Source organism: Homo sapiens, chromosome 13 (genome assembly GCF_000001405.40).
Source record: "Homo sapiens chromosome 13, GRCh38.p14 Primary Assembly".
NCBI classification, from domain to species: domain Eukaryota; kingdom Metazoa; phylum Chordata; class Mammalia; order Primates; family Hominidae; genus Homo; species Homo sapiens.
Genome location: NC_000013.11, coordinates 101,283,779 through 101,301,734, shown reverse-complemented (window position 1 = coordinate 101,301,734; position 17,956 = coordinate 101,283,779). Strand labels below are relative to the sequence as shown.

The 17,956-nt window shown below is 37.7% G+C and overlaps 1 protein-coding gene across 10 annotated transcripts in view; it reads left to right on the top strand.

Annotated features, from left to right (window-relative positions):
* NALCN (sodium leak channel, non-selective) overlaps positions 1-17,956 on the top strand; it is a 363,404-nt gene that overhangs the window by 115,445 nt on the left and 230,003 nt on the right. For 7 of the 10 annotated variants that reach the window (XM_011521067.3, XM_024449336.2, NM_001350749.2 and 4 more), the window contains 3 exons: positions 9,369-9,511; positions 9,641-9,745; positions 17,716-17,802. In XM_011521067.3, coding sequence (XP_011519369.1) covers positions 9,369-9,511; positions 9,641-9,745; positions 17,716-17,802 — 335 coding nt within the window. The remainder of the gene's footprint in view (positions 1-9,368; positions 9,512-9,640; positions 9,746-17,715; positions 17,803-17,956) is intronic. The other 3 variants (XM_011521069.3, NM_001350751.2, NM_001350750.2) reach the window with 1 other exon arrangement.

Sequence of the window (17,956 nt, the reverse complement as noted above, 5' to 3'; positions counted from 1 at the left end):
TGTCTTTTTTTTTTGAGACAGAGTCTTGCTCTGTCCCCGAGGCTGGAGTGCGGTGGTGTGATCTCGGCTCACTGCACCCTCTGCCTCCCAGGTTCAAGCAATTCTCCTGCCTCAGCCTCCCAAGTAGCTGGGATTACAGGTACATGCCACCAGGCCTGGATAATTTTTGTATTTTTAGTAGAGACAAGGTTTCACCATGTTGGCCAGGTTGGTCTCAAGCTCCTGACCTCATGATCCACCTGCCTTGGCCTCCCGAAGTGCTGGAATTACAGGCATGAGCCACTGCGCCCGGCCTTTCTTTTCTTCTTAAGACAACTAATGGAAAATAAACTTCCAAGAAGCTCTTTTGACCTGACCTCACTGCTCCTCAAAGGCAGAATGCTGATTCACAGGCTGAGGGGTATCTGACCAGGTTTCTTTGCTACCCTTACTCTCAGCCTACCTGGAAATTGCCGAGCGCAGGGGGCGCAGGGAGTGCTGTAGTTGGCGTGTGGACTGAGCGTCCTGGGAACTGTTCTGCTGTAGTACCTACACTTTCCTGCCAATGTCAGCATCCGGCTTGTCAACACTTCTTTTCCATTTGTGAATACTATAGTGAAAGCCTTCACCTCTCCTTTCTTTGAAGTATTCTCTGTTCAGAACTTGGAACTTTAGAAATTTTCTACATTTAAGGAAACATATTTCAACTATGATTCTTTATTACTTATAAAAAATTAACTTAGAAGATATATGTAAACATGTGTATGGTTTAAGGTAACAAAGTGAGTTTACCAATATGGCAAGTTGTGCCAAAAGAGTGCTTAAGTGTAAAAAACAAACAAAGAAACCAAAATCAAAATTAAAGTAGCTCAAAAACATAAAGTTTATAAATATTTTTAAGGCATTTATAATTTTAAAAAAGTCCTTTTATGTTTGTCCCATGTTCTGGAATAGCAAATAAAAAATGTGGTTTTTGCTTTATTTTGTTTTATTGCCTTGATATGCCACGTGGCAAGCCTCAGGCTGGGTGTGTGGAGCACATGACTTGAGTGTGTGGACAAGTTGTGTTGAAGATTATTATTACAGGCACAATGTTACAGCACAGTCTATCAGGGAAAAATACTTAAGTTTATTTTTTTGAGGCTGAGCGTGGTGGCTTATGCCTGTAATCCCAGCTCCTTGGGAGGCTGAGGCAGAAAATTGGTTGAACCCAGGAGGTGAAGGCTGCAGTGAGCCAAGACTGTACCACTGCACTCCAGCCTGGGTGACAGGGCGAGACTCCATCTCAGAAAAAGAAAAAAAGGAAAGGAAGAAAGAAAGAGAGAGAAAAAAAAGAGAAAGAAAGGAAGGAAGGAGGGAAGGAAGGAAGGAAGGAAGGAAGGAAGGAAAGAAAGAAAGAAAGAAGAAAAAGAAAAAGAAGGAAGGAAGGAAAAGAAGAGGAAGAAGAAGAAGGAGGGAAGGAAGGAAGGAGGATCGGAGGGAGAAAACATGGTTTACAGAGGTTTTATTCACTAGGATGGTAACATCCTCCCAAGTAATTTAGTTCTAGCTGCTTTATCGTTTAGTAAATCTCTGCAATTCAGGATGCACCTTTCTTGCTGTTGCTGGTCTGCTGATCCACATGATCTTATTTCATGTATGTGGATCATCCAGCCACCGTGACAAATGTTCATTATGTTGAGTCCAGATGTCCACCTTAAGAGTACACACCCCTCGCTGCTGCTTTTTTTTTTTAATTATGTCACACTAAATACATTTACTTTATGATAACTACTGTTGGGGTACAATTTACTCTTACCACAGAACCAGCTCTCAGTTAAGAAGAAAGTGCTGAGATGGTGTGGGGAAATTTGGTGAAGAAAAACATTATAGTAAGTTACAGTCAATCTCACTACTGACCTTTGGCTAAAATTTTTTTTAATATGTGGCTAAAATCTGCATAACAGATGGTATATCTGAGTGAAGAGATTATTAGAGGATGAGAGAAACTGAGAGTTCACCAAAAATAAAAACTAATAATTGCAATATAGATTTTGCCATCAAAAGTGACCTCAAATGCAAGTTTGTAGCTGAATTGAAGAGGTGGCCACTTTGTTCTTAATCTGGTGGCTGCTGCTTAGGTTTCATTGTAGAGGCTACTGAGCTGTTTTGCAAGTTTGTATTATCTGTCTCATGATCCAGACAGAACCAGAGTCTACCAACGTGGATTAAGAATTAGTCTGTTTTCTTCTGTGTTTTTCTATGAATATACTGAATGTCTCATCTTGATTCAGAAGAAAAACCTGAAAGCTTACCCAAAAACAAACAAACAAACAAACAAACAAACAAAAAAAACCCTGTGTGTGGTTTGTCTTGGGACAGTTCAGAAGGCAGTCATTTAATTTCGTTTGGGAACATTTTGCACTATTTATTTCATTCAAAATATGTTAATTTATTTTCGATTTTAATTAATGTACTTTTGTAATGGCTTATTCCGCAAGCAGAGATAGCCTCCCTTCCCCCAAATTCTAAGATATGCATGTATACAGTCATCTTACTACATAGCAGGAATTTTAAAAAGAAATAAGCTTTTCTTTCCAGTGCCTAGTTGTTAAAACAGCAAAATGATAAAAATTTATGTAATGGTACTATTGAGCTGTCTACTGTGTGGCAAATACTTTATACAAATAAGCAATGTCTTAGGATCTAGGCTTTTAGCCTTCAAAAATCTTTAAAGAAGAATGAAATGTCATTTTTAAGTCTTGTATTTGATCTCAAGTGAAGAGATTCAATTCATTTCAAAAATACTTAATATAAATTATATGCTAGACCCTGTGCTAGGCACTGCAGGGCAAAAGCTGAAGAATCAGAGAGGCTGTCAAGTTAGAAAAGTGTTTCTCAATTGGCAATTTTTCCAACAAGGGCCACTGGTGAATGTCTACAAGTATTTTTGGTTGGGGGTTGCAGGGACTGTTGGAATTTAGTGGGTAGAGGTCAGGGGTGTGGCTACACATCTTGCAATGCATAGGACAGACCTTCCCATTAAAGCATCATCCACCTGCAGATGTCACTAGTACCAAACTTACATTTTGTGTAGCTTCAGCAAGTTCTCTCTTAAACTATTCATCGCTCTCTTTTTTCATTAGTTCTGCAGTTTAATAAGAATATTGCCCTATGGAGCAGTTCTAGCACTTTGGGAGGCCGAGGTGAGTGGATCACCTGAGGTCAGGAGTTCGAGGCCAGCCTGGCCAACATGACGAAACCCTGTCTCTACTAAAAATACAAAACTTAGCCAGGCGTGGTGGCATGTGCCTGTAGTCCCAGCTACTTGGGGAGGCTGAGGCAGGAGAATCACTTGAATCTGGAGGCAGAGGTTGCAGTGCGTTGAGATCAAGCCACTGCACTCCAGCCTGGGTGACAGAGCAAGACACCGTCTCAAAAAAAAAAAATAGCTGGAGATTAGGCAAGTTGTATATATGTAAACATAAAAAGACAGAAACAAATAAAAACCAATATAGCACAACCCACCCCATCTTGAACAAGTTGTACTTCTAATCATGCACATGTGAAAACATCAAGCTCTTATTTGACCACCATTCAGGATTGAATATTTAGTCATTGCAAATGTAGTTGAGCAAATAAGTATCTATTTGGAGTTTAGGATTAGGATCATACACTTCCACAGTTAAATCTACTGACTGACAGTAGACAGTTCATTGAGACACAGATACAGCATAGTCATCCATGTATAGTGGTTGAGTAACGTGTAAGTTTCTTTTCCCTTCCAACTGAAGGGGATGCTCAAACTGAGATTTAACCAGGACAAAGTCAATCAGCTTCTCTCTGAAAAGGGTGATGTCTGATCAGAGTCAGCTGGAGGATCAGAAAGAGTCATTTAGAAAAGTCTGAGGGAAACTGATGATCTTGAGTAACAAGAAAGTTGCCATTTTGTTCACCACAGATGAAAGTCTATTCCCAGACAGTAAATGAAGCCGGATAATCAGGCCAATTTCATAAACAGTAGATCAGATTGGAAGAGTTAAAGGACCAGATAAGAAAACAAGCACCTGTAGCAGGATGACCCGAGTAACACAAAGGATGATTCACGCAAAGGGGGTGCAAGGACTAATTCTGCAGACTCCTATAGCTTGTTGTGCCTTGCAAGCCCAAGAGAGGTTCCCAAAGGGACTGAAGCCTGGCAGCATCCAGTGAATGGGCTCTAGCATACCTGGTAAGGAGCTGTCTCAGAAGATGGGGTGTTCCATATCCCTGGAGGGGTTAAAGTTCAAGAACATTGCTGAGGATCCAAACACTGGGAGAGAGAAAGAAATGGATGGTCATAAAATAAATCCTCTTTGTTCTTTTAAAAATTCTGAGTGTGGGAGTGAAGGTGATTTTTCAGACCAAGCCCTTGGGTACTGACTCATTCTTATTCCACTGTCTCGGGCTTACATCTCCAATTCTAACTTCCCAACTTCTGTCATGGCAGATCAGGTATTACCATTGTTAGAATAGTACTATAGGTATTTTGTGTTTGGAGAGAGGTTTAGTGGTAGGACCCCAGGTTTGTAGTGTGTTGCTAGTTATCATCACAATTTTATGACCCTCTCACTTGAGAGTGGAATGACAATGTGGTTATGTAACCTAAGACTAGAAGAAACAAATGGGAGTACTCCCAAAACACAAATATCTCACCTCTTTTTTCATGGGAAAAGAGTCAGCAGAAGAGGGCAAAGCGGTAAATAAAATCCTAAAGGTAATCAAAACAGATGGGAATATAATTTTGTTCAGAGCTATAAAAAATATCCTCTACTATTCTCAATACAGGCAGTGTGTAGAAAGTTTCAAGGTTAGTATTTATCTTCTAAACATAGACTTGTGGTCTTCTTATTTAATCAATTCAAACCACCAGTGGAAGAGGTCAGAAAGAATGAATGAAATCAGGAGAACTGATTATCATGAGTATCATTGTTGTGATTGCATTTCTTGCACAGCTTTAATTTGTGCCTTGAGAGTTTGGGGTCTGAGAAAGTAGTGCTATTCCAAGAGCTCTCCAGGGATATTTTTGGAACAGGCCTTATTGTTCTCTAAAAAATTAATGCGTTATATTCCCAGGTGCTGTTGTAGCATCATTTTTCATTTAACAAAAATATGGTCGTTTAGCCAGAAATTTTAGTTCTATAATTAAAATGGACTAAAAATATTCTGTAGCACATCTAGAAAAAATATTTTAAATGTATCAATGTTCTTCCTAGAAATTTTCCATGTTGGATCAAACAGTAGATGAAGACTTTTCTGTGTGTATAGCATGGGTTTTTATGTTTATATATGAGTGTGCAGGTGTTTTAAGAGAATTTTGAAAATCAGCAAAGCAAAGTCAATTCACTACAAAATAGTTTCCAAATTATCTGTGCAGTATTAATATTGAGGAAGAATTAATCAAAAAGCAAATATTTGAGAAATGCTTTCCTATGTCTGTAGGCTACAAAATCATTGTTTAATTTATCAACAATCTTTGAGTGCTCCTCAGTGTCTGGTACAGAAATGAAAGATACAGTTTTAACTTTAGAGTGCTCACACCTACTGAGGGAAACAAACAAGGTAGAGAATTCAGTATGACGAGTGACATGAGACAGTTGAATGGGAGGCTCTCTGGGAGTACTAAGGGCCATTGCCTAGTGTAGCTGAGGGCACAGAGGAGCTGAGCTGGGCAGCCCAGGAGTCTGTCAAGAGGGCCAGAGGGAAGCAGTGCAGGGCCAGCAGCGAGAGCGGGACTGTGCAAAAGAAGTTTCAGTAGCTACAGTTTCTTTCTCAGGGTCCTCCACTTCCCAAAGAAAATGAAAGGAACATACATTTGATTTTTGTCAGTTTAAATATTGGTCGACCATTGGAAAACCATTTTTGAAAAGTGATTTCTTTTGCTATGTTTGGCAAAGCCAGGAGTAGTAAAGAGATGAGGAAGGACCATCTTCGTCCATTGCCTTTGCCTTTGTAACTGTTACTTCTTCACAGCCTTTCTACCCAGTGTAGTTCACGTATGGGAAACATTTCTTTCCATCGTCAGCGTCTTCCTGGGGAGTGTTTTGGTTATACTTTCACGAATGTCTCACCTCTTTGTGTCAACAAACCCTTCTCTTTGAGCTGTACTGTGGGTTTCTGTTTCTTTCCTTTTTTCCTTTGTCCAATTAGAAAAAAAAATGGAGTAGAAGTTTCAAGGCTACTAGTTCAATGTGCTCTTTTTTACTTGACTCCAAATGACATCTTGCTTGCAGATGTGATTAAGAAAGATCTGGACAGGGAGAGGGAGGATAATTTTCAATGTTCCTCTCAAATTTAATCTTATAGTGACAAGCTCCATATTCTACATGAAAATGCTCAGTTAATACAGCTATTAAACTTGAATGGTAGATAATAGTGGATTTCTGTAGCCACTGTTTGGTTTCATTCAAAAACCTAGAGGAAAATAAGGGATATACATTATAAATTGTTTGTTTAATGTTAAAAATATGTTTCATATTCAGTGCACATAAAGCAAAGGTATTGTCCAGTGTTAGTACCTATGAATCATCAATAAAAACAGTTGCTTCTGTTTGCTGTTGACATTTTATGTATGTGTTGTTCCTCTCTGAACCTTTTTCTTAAAAGTCAACTTTTAAGAAACTTATAAGTTTACTGTGGAGAGCCTATGAACAGATGCATGAGGGGGCGCCTGTTCATATGGATAAGATAGGGCTATAAATGCCCTTATCTTGCCAGGGCTCTTCTAGGCCTCTTTAGGGTTAAGGCATACTCCCTTCTGAGAATTTGTGTTGTAACCGGTTGTCTAGCTTCACGTCCTGTTTCTATGGATTGTTTGTAACCAGCTTTTGCTGCAACTGTTACTGCTGATTAATACCTTGCTAATCATAGGTTATGGAAAGACTGTTTTCTGTTTTAAGGCTCTGTTAGAAATTGCTGATGCACACAATATTGTAAATTCTTATCTCTGTATACTGTACTTCTGCATACAGATATTATGTTAAAGAATTACTTCATCCCCATGTGACCATCTCACTTCATAATCAAATGACTCTAAATCCCTCACTAAACTACCCCCACCCTCACTAAACTTAACAATAAATGCTGGTATATCCAGTACGTTGGCGGCATCACAGGACCAGAAGGCAGTGATCCCCCTGGACCCAGCTTTCACTAAAAAAAAAAAAAAAAAAAAAAAGAAACAATAAACTTAGCCATTATAATCCCTCAGAAAAACATTAACTATATTTAAGGATAATAAGAGAAAATAATCTCTTTTTAACATACTTATTGATACATAATAATTGTACATATTTATGGGGTACCTGTGATATTTTGTTTTATGGATAAAATGTGTAATTATCAAATCAAGATATTTAGGATATCCATAACCTCAAGCATTTATCATTTCTATGTGTTGGGAACATTTCAAGGCCTCTCTGCTAGCTATTTTGAAATACACAATACATTGTTGTTAACTATAATCACCCTCGTCTGCCATGGAACATTACAACTTATTCCTTCTATCTAACTCTATGTTTGTACCCATTAATAATTTCTTTTTAAAGCCCCAGTCTCAATCAAGAGAAATATAAATAGCATGGTAAAAAAAAATTTTTTTTGACCTGATGATATGGGTTCAATTTCTGGTTCTACCACTTTCCACCTTGGAGACCTTCATTAACCAGTGACCTTCACTTTTCTTTTCTGTAAGATGGTATTGATAATATCTGCCCTCATCCCCACTTCGCCATTTGCCTAGCTAATAAGACAGAGATTTCCTTAGCATGTTGTGTTAAAGAGGCTAGAAACTCAACATGCTTTACAAATACCAGCTGTATGACAAGGAGTTACAGTACCAATGTACAAAATATGATTTTTAAAATGAAAGGCAGGACATTTATGAAGTTATATTCTATAGAAAGTATATTAGCACACATTAATGCATAATAGGCGATAGGACTGCACTTTGCTTCTTTCTCTTAGCTTTTCTTTCCAGCCTCTTTTTCTCCCTTGTCATCAAGTCTGCGGCTGGACTTGCCTTCTGTTCTGCATGCCTTGGTGTTTGCTGTTGCTCTGATTCTGCTTTCTCATGCACAGGCTCAAAGAAACAGTGAGGCTGCCCCAACCTGTGCAACTCTCCTCTTTGTTTGGATACTTGGTCATATGCACATTCTAGTTTAAATTTCTGTGTAACTAAAACATGTATGAGTGGAGATTGGTTTTATATTCTGTAATAATAAAACTTATTTATAGAAGTAGAATTTATTGAGGTACAAATGTTTACCAGTTTTATGAATAACAACTTATATTTATTTTATAAACAACTTCAATGGTATATGTGTGTGTGTTTTCTCACAAAAGCATATTGAGCAATTATTTTCAATTTTATAGTCATAAATGATACCTGAAATATCTTAAGAACCTACCCTGTGATTTACAGGAATTAAGTCATTAAATCCTTACAACACAGTAAAGTCTGTGTTATTTCCCATTTTACAGATGGAGAAACTAACTACAGAAAGACTATTAAAGAGGCAAGATATCATCACAGTTGGATGTGTGGGGCTTTGTACCAGAATGACTGAGTTAATTCCAGTTCCCTTAATTATTATCTTTGCATCCTCAGACAAGTCACTTTATCTTTATATGCTTTAGTTTCCCTGTCTGTAAAACATCTTATAGTGTTGTTAGGATTAAACACATCTTTTCCCTACATGGCATTTTAGGTTCTCTTAACCAATGTTAAAAAATCTATCCACATATTTTTAGCTTTCCTTTCTTTCCATTACTAGAAGTACTTTCTATGAGGTAATTCTCCCAGAAAATACAAAGTCCTATTTGGTGATTCACTGCCTTACATTCTGGTGTTCGGTAACACCATGGAATCCAAAGACAAGCTCCATCATATCAATTGTGGAGCCTGAGATACTTTACTCTCCCTGTGAGAAAGTGATTTCAAATGAAACTCAGTTCTCCCATTTATTTCATTTTGGTTAAAACTATAGCAGGTGCTTTTCAGCTTATTGAATGTGTTAGGCTCCAAGTGGCAAGCTTAAATGGTACATATCCTTTTTTTAATTATACATATATATACTTGGTTTGACTGTTTATTTCCTTTTCCACATTATTATTTGCATTTAACAGCTAAAGGTATAATATCAAATTATTTTATTGTTAGATGTTGAAATTACCCTGGCTTGAAGTCAGAAACAACTTTATTAAAATTTTAAGAGAACAGTAAAATGTGTTGCATGTGATTCTAATCAATTTTTGAAGCACTTTTGTCATTGAGAAAATAAGTATGGATAAATATTGATTGTTTTTCTGGAAAATGCTTTCTTATTTCAAAAGTCAGCTGTGACTCAGTCTGTCCTCCTCTGTCATGACAGGAACTAGTATATTCACCGTCTATGAGGCCGCCTCACAGGAAGGCTGGGTGTTCCTCATGTACAGAGCAATTGACAGCTTTCCCCGTTGGCGTTCCTACTTCTATTTCATCACTCTCATTTTCTTCCTCGCCTGGCTTGTGAAGGTACTGCGAAGAATTGTACTAAGAAAGTCTATGTTCTGTGATAGTTCTGCAGATCTTTTGTTTGGTTTTGGTTGCCCTCTGCTTTGTCATTCTTAGACTTTGGTAAATGTGGTTTGTGATTTTTTTCAGAACGTGTTTATTGCTGTTATCATTGAAACATTTGCAGAAATCAGAGTACAGTTTCAACAAATGTGGGGATCGAGAAGCAGCACTACCTCAACAGCCACCACCCAGGTACGCTATCAGCAAGAGGATGTTATAACCCATTCGAGCATGCACATGTCTCACCCTCACCATCAGTGGACCTTGGGGAAGCTCTTGCATGATGGGCTTCTATAGTCTGACTCAGGAAGCTGTTTAAAAATACAGTTGCCAGTCAGGCACAGTGGCTCATGCTTGTAATTCCAGCACTTTGGGAGGCTGAGGGAGAGGGATTGCTTGAGCCCAGGAGTTTGAGATCAGCCTAGGTAATGTAGCAAGACCCTGTCTCTACAAAAAAATTTTAAAAATTAGCCAAGAGTAGTGGCATGAGCTTGTAGTCCCAGCTACTCAGTAGGCTGAGATGGGAGGATCACTTGAGCTCAGGAGGTCAAAGGTACAGTGAGCTGCAATCACAACACTGCACCCCAGCCTGGGTGACAGAGCAAGATCCTATCCCCAAAAAACATAAAAGAAAATAAAATAAAACAGGTTCAAAGGCCCAAACACAGAACAATCAAATCAGAGCTTCCAGGCAGTGAGGTAATGACACCTATATTTTGTAACAGCTCCGTGGGTGGTTTTGATACAAAACCAAGATCGTCAACCACATTTATTACATACCTTTGATTCTGACATCACAAATCCTCAAATGGCTTGTGGATAAAATGCAACCACTATGGAATTTCTTACTTTTATGGGTATTTATTCATGTACTTGCAAGCCTATGTAATGTCTATGTGTAGGATTAGAATTTTGTAATGGAAAATATATTTCATTCAGAACAAACCACAGTACAATAAACTATGAAAAAGATCCCTCAACCCCAAATGCATGTTTGTGATTTTTTAAAGAATCCCTATATATTCAGAAGGATTCCCATAAGTTCCATAGCAATATTGTTTCCATAAAACCATAAGGCTCCTGAGAATTTGAAGGTGGGCTACAGATTTGCTAAAAGCAGCAGGGCAGTTATTACAAAAGAGGGCAATTCAGATCCAATGCCTTTGTTTTTATTTTTGGTTTTGTTTCACGTGTGTGTTTTTGTGGTGTTAAAAAAAGGAAGGGCAGATTTGTGTATCTTCTTCTAGCGTGAATCTTTATAAAAGAGAGAGAAAATATAAATTCCAGAATCAGGAATAAAATGATATAATGCCTTGTAATTATTATAATATTAAATTCTAAAGGATATTTAACAACTTTGTAAACACTTACAAATACTGTTAAGACAAAGGTATCTATCAAGGAGCCGAGGTGTACAAATTTTACTTTTGAAAACCCTCAAGTTGAGCTTTTAATAATTATTTGTTAAAATGCAATTAAACACACTAATTTGGGAAAAGCCTGGTGGTGTTGAGGCATCTTTATGATGCTGTAAAAGTCTGAATTGTCCAGTCAATTCATTATAGATGAAATAGTGTCAGTCTTATTCAGTTTTTACAAACAACTGTTCAAACTTCCATGAAAGGTTTTTTGAATATGCTATCCAGGTTATATCAGAAATGCCATGTAGAAAAGCCTTCAAGAAATCAACCATAGCAAGTTCTCATCTCCTCTCTCCTCTCTTTTTGCAAACTATGAGAGATAAGAAAGTTCCCGGTCCATTCCGAGGTGGCAGCCTCTAGAAGGACATGTTTTCAGTTATGACTTTGAGACCTAAATGGAATATGGAACTATGATCTCAGCCCTTAACTCACATGCAGTGTTCCTGGAGATGACCTAAGATTCCTTTAAAACCATAGTATGTTTATGGAGTAACTCTCACGTATAAAATCACAGCTGGAAAAAATAGTGTTTGGAAGCACCACCAAGTCAGGCAATGGTTCTAATAGAAAGGGAAATGTGAAGAGACTTGGAACAAAGTTGTACAGAATCATTTTGATGCAAAATTGTACTTAATCAAGAGGAATAAATTGGTAATTCAGAGGTAATGCGTCTAGATATTCAGCAGTGGTAATCATACAGAGAATTGTGAAAAACCTTCATTAAGAAAAATGCTATAGCTGAGGACCTGGTTGCTAAGCAACCAAAGCTCCTGCTGTCAGCCTCTGGGTGAAACACCACTCAGGCAGCCTAGCAACGAGCTTCAGGCCCCGCCCACCCTGGCTAGCCACTTGCGAGTGGGCCCTCTGATGCTTTTATGTGTAGAGAAGGGAGAGACATAATTTGCCATGATGCTATTATGTTTGTAAAATATGACCAAATTCCGTGAACAGGGACTTCTCATTCAGTGGTTTAAAACACTAGATCACAAGTTACTAATTTGAAGGAAATAAAATAAAGATGATTATTATAATGCACACAGCTTTTCAAACATGGAAGTACATTCTTGCCTTTCTCTAGCATATGGAAAATTTGCAGTTGTTAAATATAGGCTATTCTCATCAAAGGACTAAAGGGTCCTGGGCTTGTTGGACTTGTTGATGTCTAAGTCTGCAGACTTCCCATAACAGCCATGTGTATAGAAAATATGTGTATATATATATATATATATATATATGCACATTTTCAGAACAAAGAAGGGGCTTTCTGTTATATTAGGCAGCTCACTAGGAACTGGCTCTGACAGGGACCATTTCAAGGGAGGCGAAAGGAAATCTGTGATGAGAACTGTTTCTTTAAAATAACGAAGCAATATTTTTCAATTGAATGGTCACCACCAAATGCCTCCAAGACACAGCATAGGAACAAATTACAGAGACATTAATGCCAAGGGTCTTTAGGAGACCATAATATAACATGTAACTGGAAAACAGAAGGAAAATGATGTAGAAAATTTCAAATTACTAAATATTGACTCTGGCCTCTGAGAGCCTTGTGATTTCATACCTGCCTGATTCTTAGACGTGGGTAACTATTGCCTTGTGCTCAGTTGTGGATTGGGTTGAAGGATAAGTGATTCATACACCCATGATATAATACCCTGCTTTGTTAATCCACTATAGGGTTACCCAGGCCACAACTTTTTAGTGATGTCCCATGACTGGATGTTGGGATGTGCAGGTGAGCTGAAAGACGAAGTCCTGAGTACCGTATCTCACTAACCCAGACCTTTACTCCCATTATTTAGATGCTTTACTTCAGATACCTGTTATGAGCCCCATGGTCCTCTGATCTAGACTAGCTCATGATGGAGATGAGCTTATCCCAACTTTGCCTTGAGTAGAACTCAAAGAACTGCTAAATTTTAGAGCCACACAAGGCTACTTTTCTGTTAAAATGGTAGGAGACAGAAAGCAGGCTTCTGACAGTCAATACATATCTAACTTTTATAAATGAATCATAATCCAATAGGATCATATTGAAGGTTTGGTAAATAATTAAATATTCTGATTGCACAAAGACAGCAATCATTTCTGGGTCTGTTATTATCTCTGATTGAGCACTCTTGCTGACATGTGTTTTCTGAATTAATATCCCCTAATTAACAGAGAAGACTGATAAAGGTAGAACTGGTGTGGGAAGAATGGGCACTTTTGAGTTTTTCTCCTTTGGGTTTCCATCAACATTCTTAGAATATGGGTTATACAATGCCTAAAGCAACTTGTGCATAAATGTTCAGTGCTGGGTTAAAAAGTAGAGAAAAAATGGATGAAAAGACACATGATCCAAAATGGAAAGAATTTCTCCTCCAAAAAGAAAGCTACATATAACTTAATGCTCAAAGAAAATACTTTAGCAAAAATGTGTTTACTGTGTTCCAAGACCATTTATTTCCTCATGAATATACATCATTAAAATATGTGAGAAAACAATTCAATTAATGCATTTCAGGGAAGGGTGCTTCTAGCATGGTGTAATAATGAGTGCCTTCTAATAAGAAACCATAATAATAGAATAGTACAATCATCATAGGAAACCATAAATGAGAATTAAATTTTGTGAGGTTGCATCATTGAATATATTATTTCGTAATGAAATCAAGCCAGGTATCCACTTTCACTATTTTCTGTCATAGTGACTATTAGCTATTTTTTGAAAAACCATAAATTTTCAAAGAATCCAAAGAGCATGCAAATTGCAAAGTAAATTTTAGATTTTCTCTGCATTACTGTGTATGTGGATGTGTGTGTGCCTGTCTTGAGTTTGGAATTCTAATTCAGCTGCTAGTGATTCTCCATTACCAAGATTCTTTCTCTTACCACTATCCATTAGATAACCTGTTATTCATGTTGTTGATGATGATGATATTATGCCTATAATGGAACAATCCCAGAAGCATTTTTAGCTACTTTACAAACCAACCGACCAGTTATAAAACTGTAGCAGTTGCAAATGGACAGGCCTGAGAGAATTCTCAAAGTTGAAATCTCCATGCGCTTCCAAATGATTGTGCTAAGAGGAGAGTGCCATGGAAATTCATTTGTGTTATTGGTGAGATTCTACTAATTCAGAACATCTTCTTACAGTCACTCCCATATATTGAGATCTGCACTAGTCTAATGGCTTTACAAACTGTCTTATTTAATTTTCATAATAATACTGTGAAGTGGGCACTATTAATGTCTCCACTTTGCATGTAAAAAATGACAATGATTGGAAAGTTAATTATCTAACCCAATGTTATATAACTGGCTAGTGGTAAAACTGGGACTCAAAACCAGGTTGCTCAGCTGCAAGAGCCTTTTTATTCAGCATGAGATGCTACCACCTTTCAATTTAGCCATTACAAGCCCTGCTGTCAACATGCTGTCTTTGTTCTGGCCTCATGTTAACTTTTCTTTTCTTAAAAAAGACAGTATTTATTGCTGGCTGAAAGGGACATTCGCATACATTGTTGCCAAGAGTATGAATTAAAACATCTTTTCCAGAAAACCGTTTGGCAATATGTATCCAAAAGTAAAACATACATACTATCTGACCAAGAAAGTCCGCTTTTAGAAATGTATCCTAAGAAAAATTGGGGGCAGTAGCCAAGGGCATATGTTTGAGGATGTTTATGAGGCATTATGGCAATTTTTTAAAAATGGAAACAATCTTAGTCTCTAGCAATAAGTTATCGATTATAAATTATGAAATTGGAATAAATGCAAACCATTAAAATAAGAATTGAACTTTATTGATGTGAAGATATGCTGATGACATATTAGTACAAAAAAAGATCCTATGTTTGTCTGTGGGATGCAGGTGTGTGTGTGTGTGTGTGTGTGTGTGTGTGTGTATAATACCTGGAATGTTAACTGTAAAATGTTAGTGGTGGTGTCTCTGGGGAATGGGTTTAAGCTGTTTCTTTTGCAACTCATCCTCATTTTCTAAGCCTTTAATAGTAAAATATTTAATTATAGAATGAGAAAGGAAAATTACATCAGTAAAATGAAAAAAAAAATTAATGGACATTCTAACAGAAACCACGTATACTAGTTAAGTTACATTCAGTTGCAAGGGACAAAAAAGCCCAAAATAAGTTGCTTAGGTGACGTATGCGATGAGGAATCCCATTCTCTCTCATATAAAGTTGGAGGTGCTCATTCAGCATGGTATGGTTGTCTGTGTTGCCACGGATCCAGACACCTTCCTTCCTGTTCCACTTTGCACAGCCCCCATTACCACAGTCACCTTGTAGACTAGCATGGCTGCTGTAGCTCTAACCCTCACATCCATATCCCAGAGAGCAGGAAGAAGAAGGAAATACAGGAAAAGAGGGTTTCTGCTTGCATCCTATAGTCCTGTATGTAGTTACATGGTCAAGCTCAGCTTCAAAAAAAGGGCAAGAACTGGCCTTTTTTCTTGGTAGCCTAGTGGCCCCATACAGATTCTCTTTGTAAAACAGGGAAAAGAGATACAAAGGAAAGACTGGCAGTCCCTGCCACGCTCCCCGCAAGGATTTGAGTCTCTGAGGATTCTTGGCTTCTGCTAGCTAGCCCAGCTTCTGTCTCAAAGATCTACTGTAATATTAACCAATCTAAATGTTGTATAATTCAGGGGATTAAAGAGAAATTGAACGTTTTTGCATTTCCTTTACTTATTTCATACAAATAAGTGACCTTGGGAGAACACTTTTACTGAAAATTAAATTGATTCTTTTGATTTTGGTCTATTGAAAAAAAAATTTAAGAGAGAAAATTAGTCTGCTACTGATCAAAGTCAATATATGCCCCAGGGATCCTTTATGCCACAATTAGAGAGTATAGGATGTATCAACAGAGGGTTTTTATTAATAACTGGTGACTGGCAATGCTGGTTTTGTCTTTTATCCTTAAAATGAGGCTTCCAGAATTTTGACAGAAACTTTACAAGGTCCTATAACAGGTTTGCATCTCCACTGATGTCTATATTCTCAGAATGAGCTATTCAGGAAGAATATGCTTGATTCACCCCAAAAAGAGTTTTTGCAGTTTATTCTAAAGAAAATCAGAATCCTGTAAATGGACAGCTGAGATGAGCAATTTGCAGTTGGCATCTTTGTCAAAGGAGCTTTATGTAAATGTGCACCTTAATTTTGTCATTTAAAAATACATATAGGAGGCAGAAGCTGGGGGATTGCCTGAGCTCAGGAGTTCAAAACCACCCTGGACAACAAGCTGAAACCCTCTGTCTAGTAAAAAAAAAAATACAAAAATTAGTTGGGCATTGTGGCGGGTGCCTGTAGTCCCAGCTACTCGGGAGGCTGAGACAGGAAAATTGCTTGAACCCGGGAGGTGGAGGTTGGAGTGAGTGGAGATCACGCCCCTACACTCCAGCCTGGGCGACAGAGCAGGACTCTATCTCCCCCCAAAAATAAATAAATAATAAAAATACATATAGGGACTGTGATTTTTGGCAACTGTCTCTCACCACCTCACTCATTTTATAGAAGGCAAGTTTATTTTCCACAAAGGATCTACCACCACTACTACCAGGGATTTGAAACTCTAATTACAAATCCTAGGTAATGGGATCTTTGCATCATCTCATTCGTATTTCCATCAGCAGTTACCCCTTCGAATACAGGGTCAGACTAACAGGAGGACATAAATAAGGGTGACAAAGGAAACATTTATTTCTGTAAAACAGCGACCTCAGGTAGGAATGAAACAGTGAGCACTTGTAGTTAGTATCATTATTTAGAAAAACAAAAATGTTTAATTTTGCCCTATTCCTACCATACACACATACACACACACTCGCTCCTAAGAACTAGAAAGAAAAATATGTTAGTGGGAAAATACGTGAAAGTGGGAAATGTCTTCCAGCTGGGTGTAATATTGACACATAGGTAATATGTGATGATACCTAGGAGATAATAGGTACCTAGGAGATAATAACCTAGGTATCTAATTCAATGGATTTCAGATTTAGTGGGCCTGTAGCATCTTGAATTTCATCACTTGGGTCTTTAATCCAAAAGAAACTACTTGTTCCCTTCATAATACGTACATAAAATTTCTGCTGAGCAGGTTAATTGCTGCCTAGTTAAAATAATTACACAAAGTGTATTAAGCAATGTGGCAATCTTCTACCATTAAAATAACACCAGTTCTTTCCCTATGCCACACGCACACTTCTTATTTTATGGATCCTGAGAATATTTTTATTAGGTCAGTGCTCCTGTTCAGCCTTGAGGGTAAGATACCATGGTAGTCCAAGCCAGGGAGTGGAAGACTGTCCACTAAATAAAAATAAAAATTTGCAACCTATAGTAAAAACACACCAGACACAATGCTTTTAAATTCTGATTTTCATTTTCTCCCAGATCTAATAGATATTTATCAATATAATGGGGATAAAATACTAAAGTATTTCTCTTGTGGAGAAGAATATTTGAGCAATTATATGCAAAGCATATGCAAGACAGAAAGTGCCTGACATAGCAAGTAGTCAATAAACTCAAGTTATTATCATTGTTCTTTTTTCATTCATTTAAGCTTTCAATGTTAAAGAACTATAATTGAAATGACTTCATTCCAAATATAAATCCATAAGAAGACAAATTTTTGATAACATAAAAATATACAAAGCTGGAGACATAGAGTTCTCAATGTTCCATATTAAATGTCTCTGACTCATCTCCCTTCTTTGTCTTGAAGATGTTTCATGAAGATGCTGCTGGAGGTTGGCAGCTGGTAGCTGTGGATGTCAACAAGCCCCAGGGACGCGCCCCAGCCTGCCTCCAGGTGCAGTACAATGACATTTTTAAAAATCGCCCAGCAAAGGTCTTTGAATTTTATTTCATCCAAGAAAATCCACAGCTCTTTAAGCTCTAGATTTGTCCAAATTTAAAATCCTGAAGTTAGAGATGGTATTTCACTCCTTCCTCTATTCCCAGGA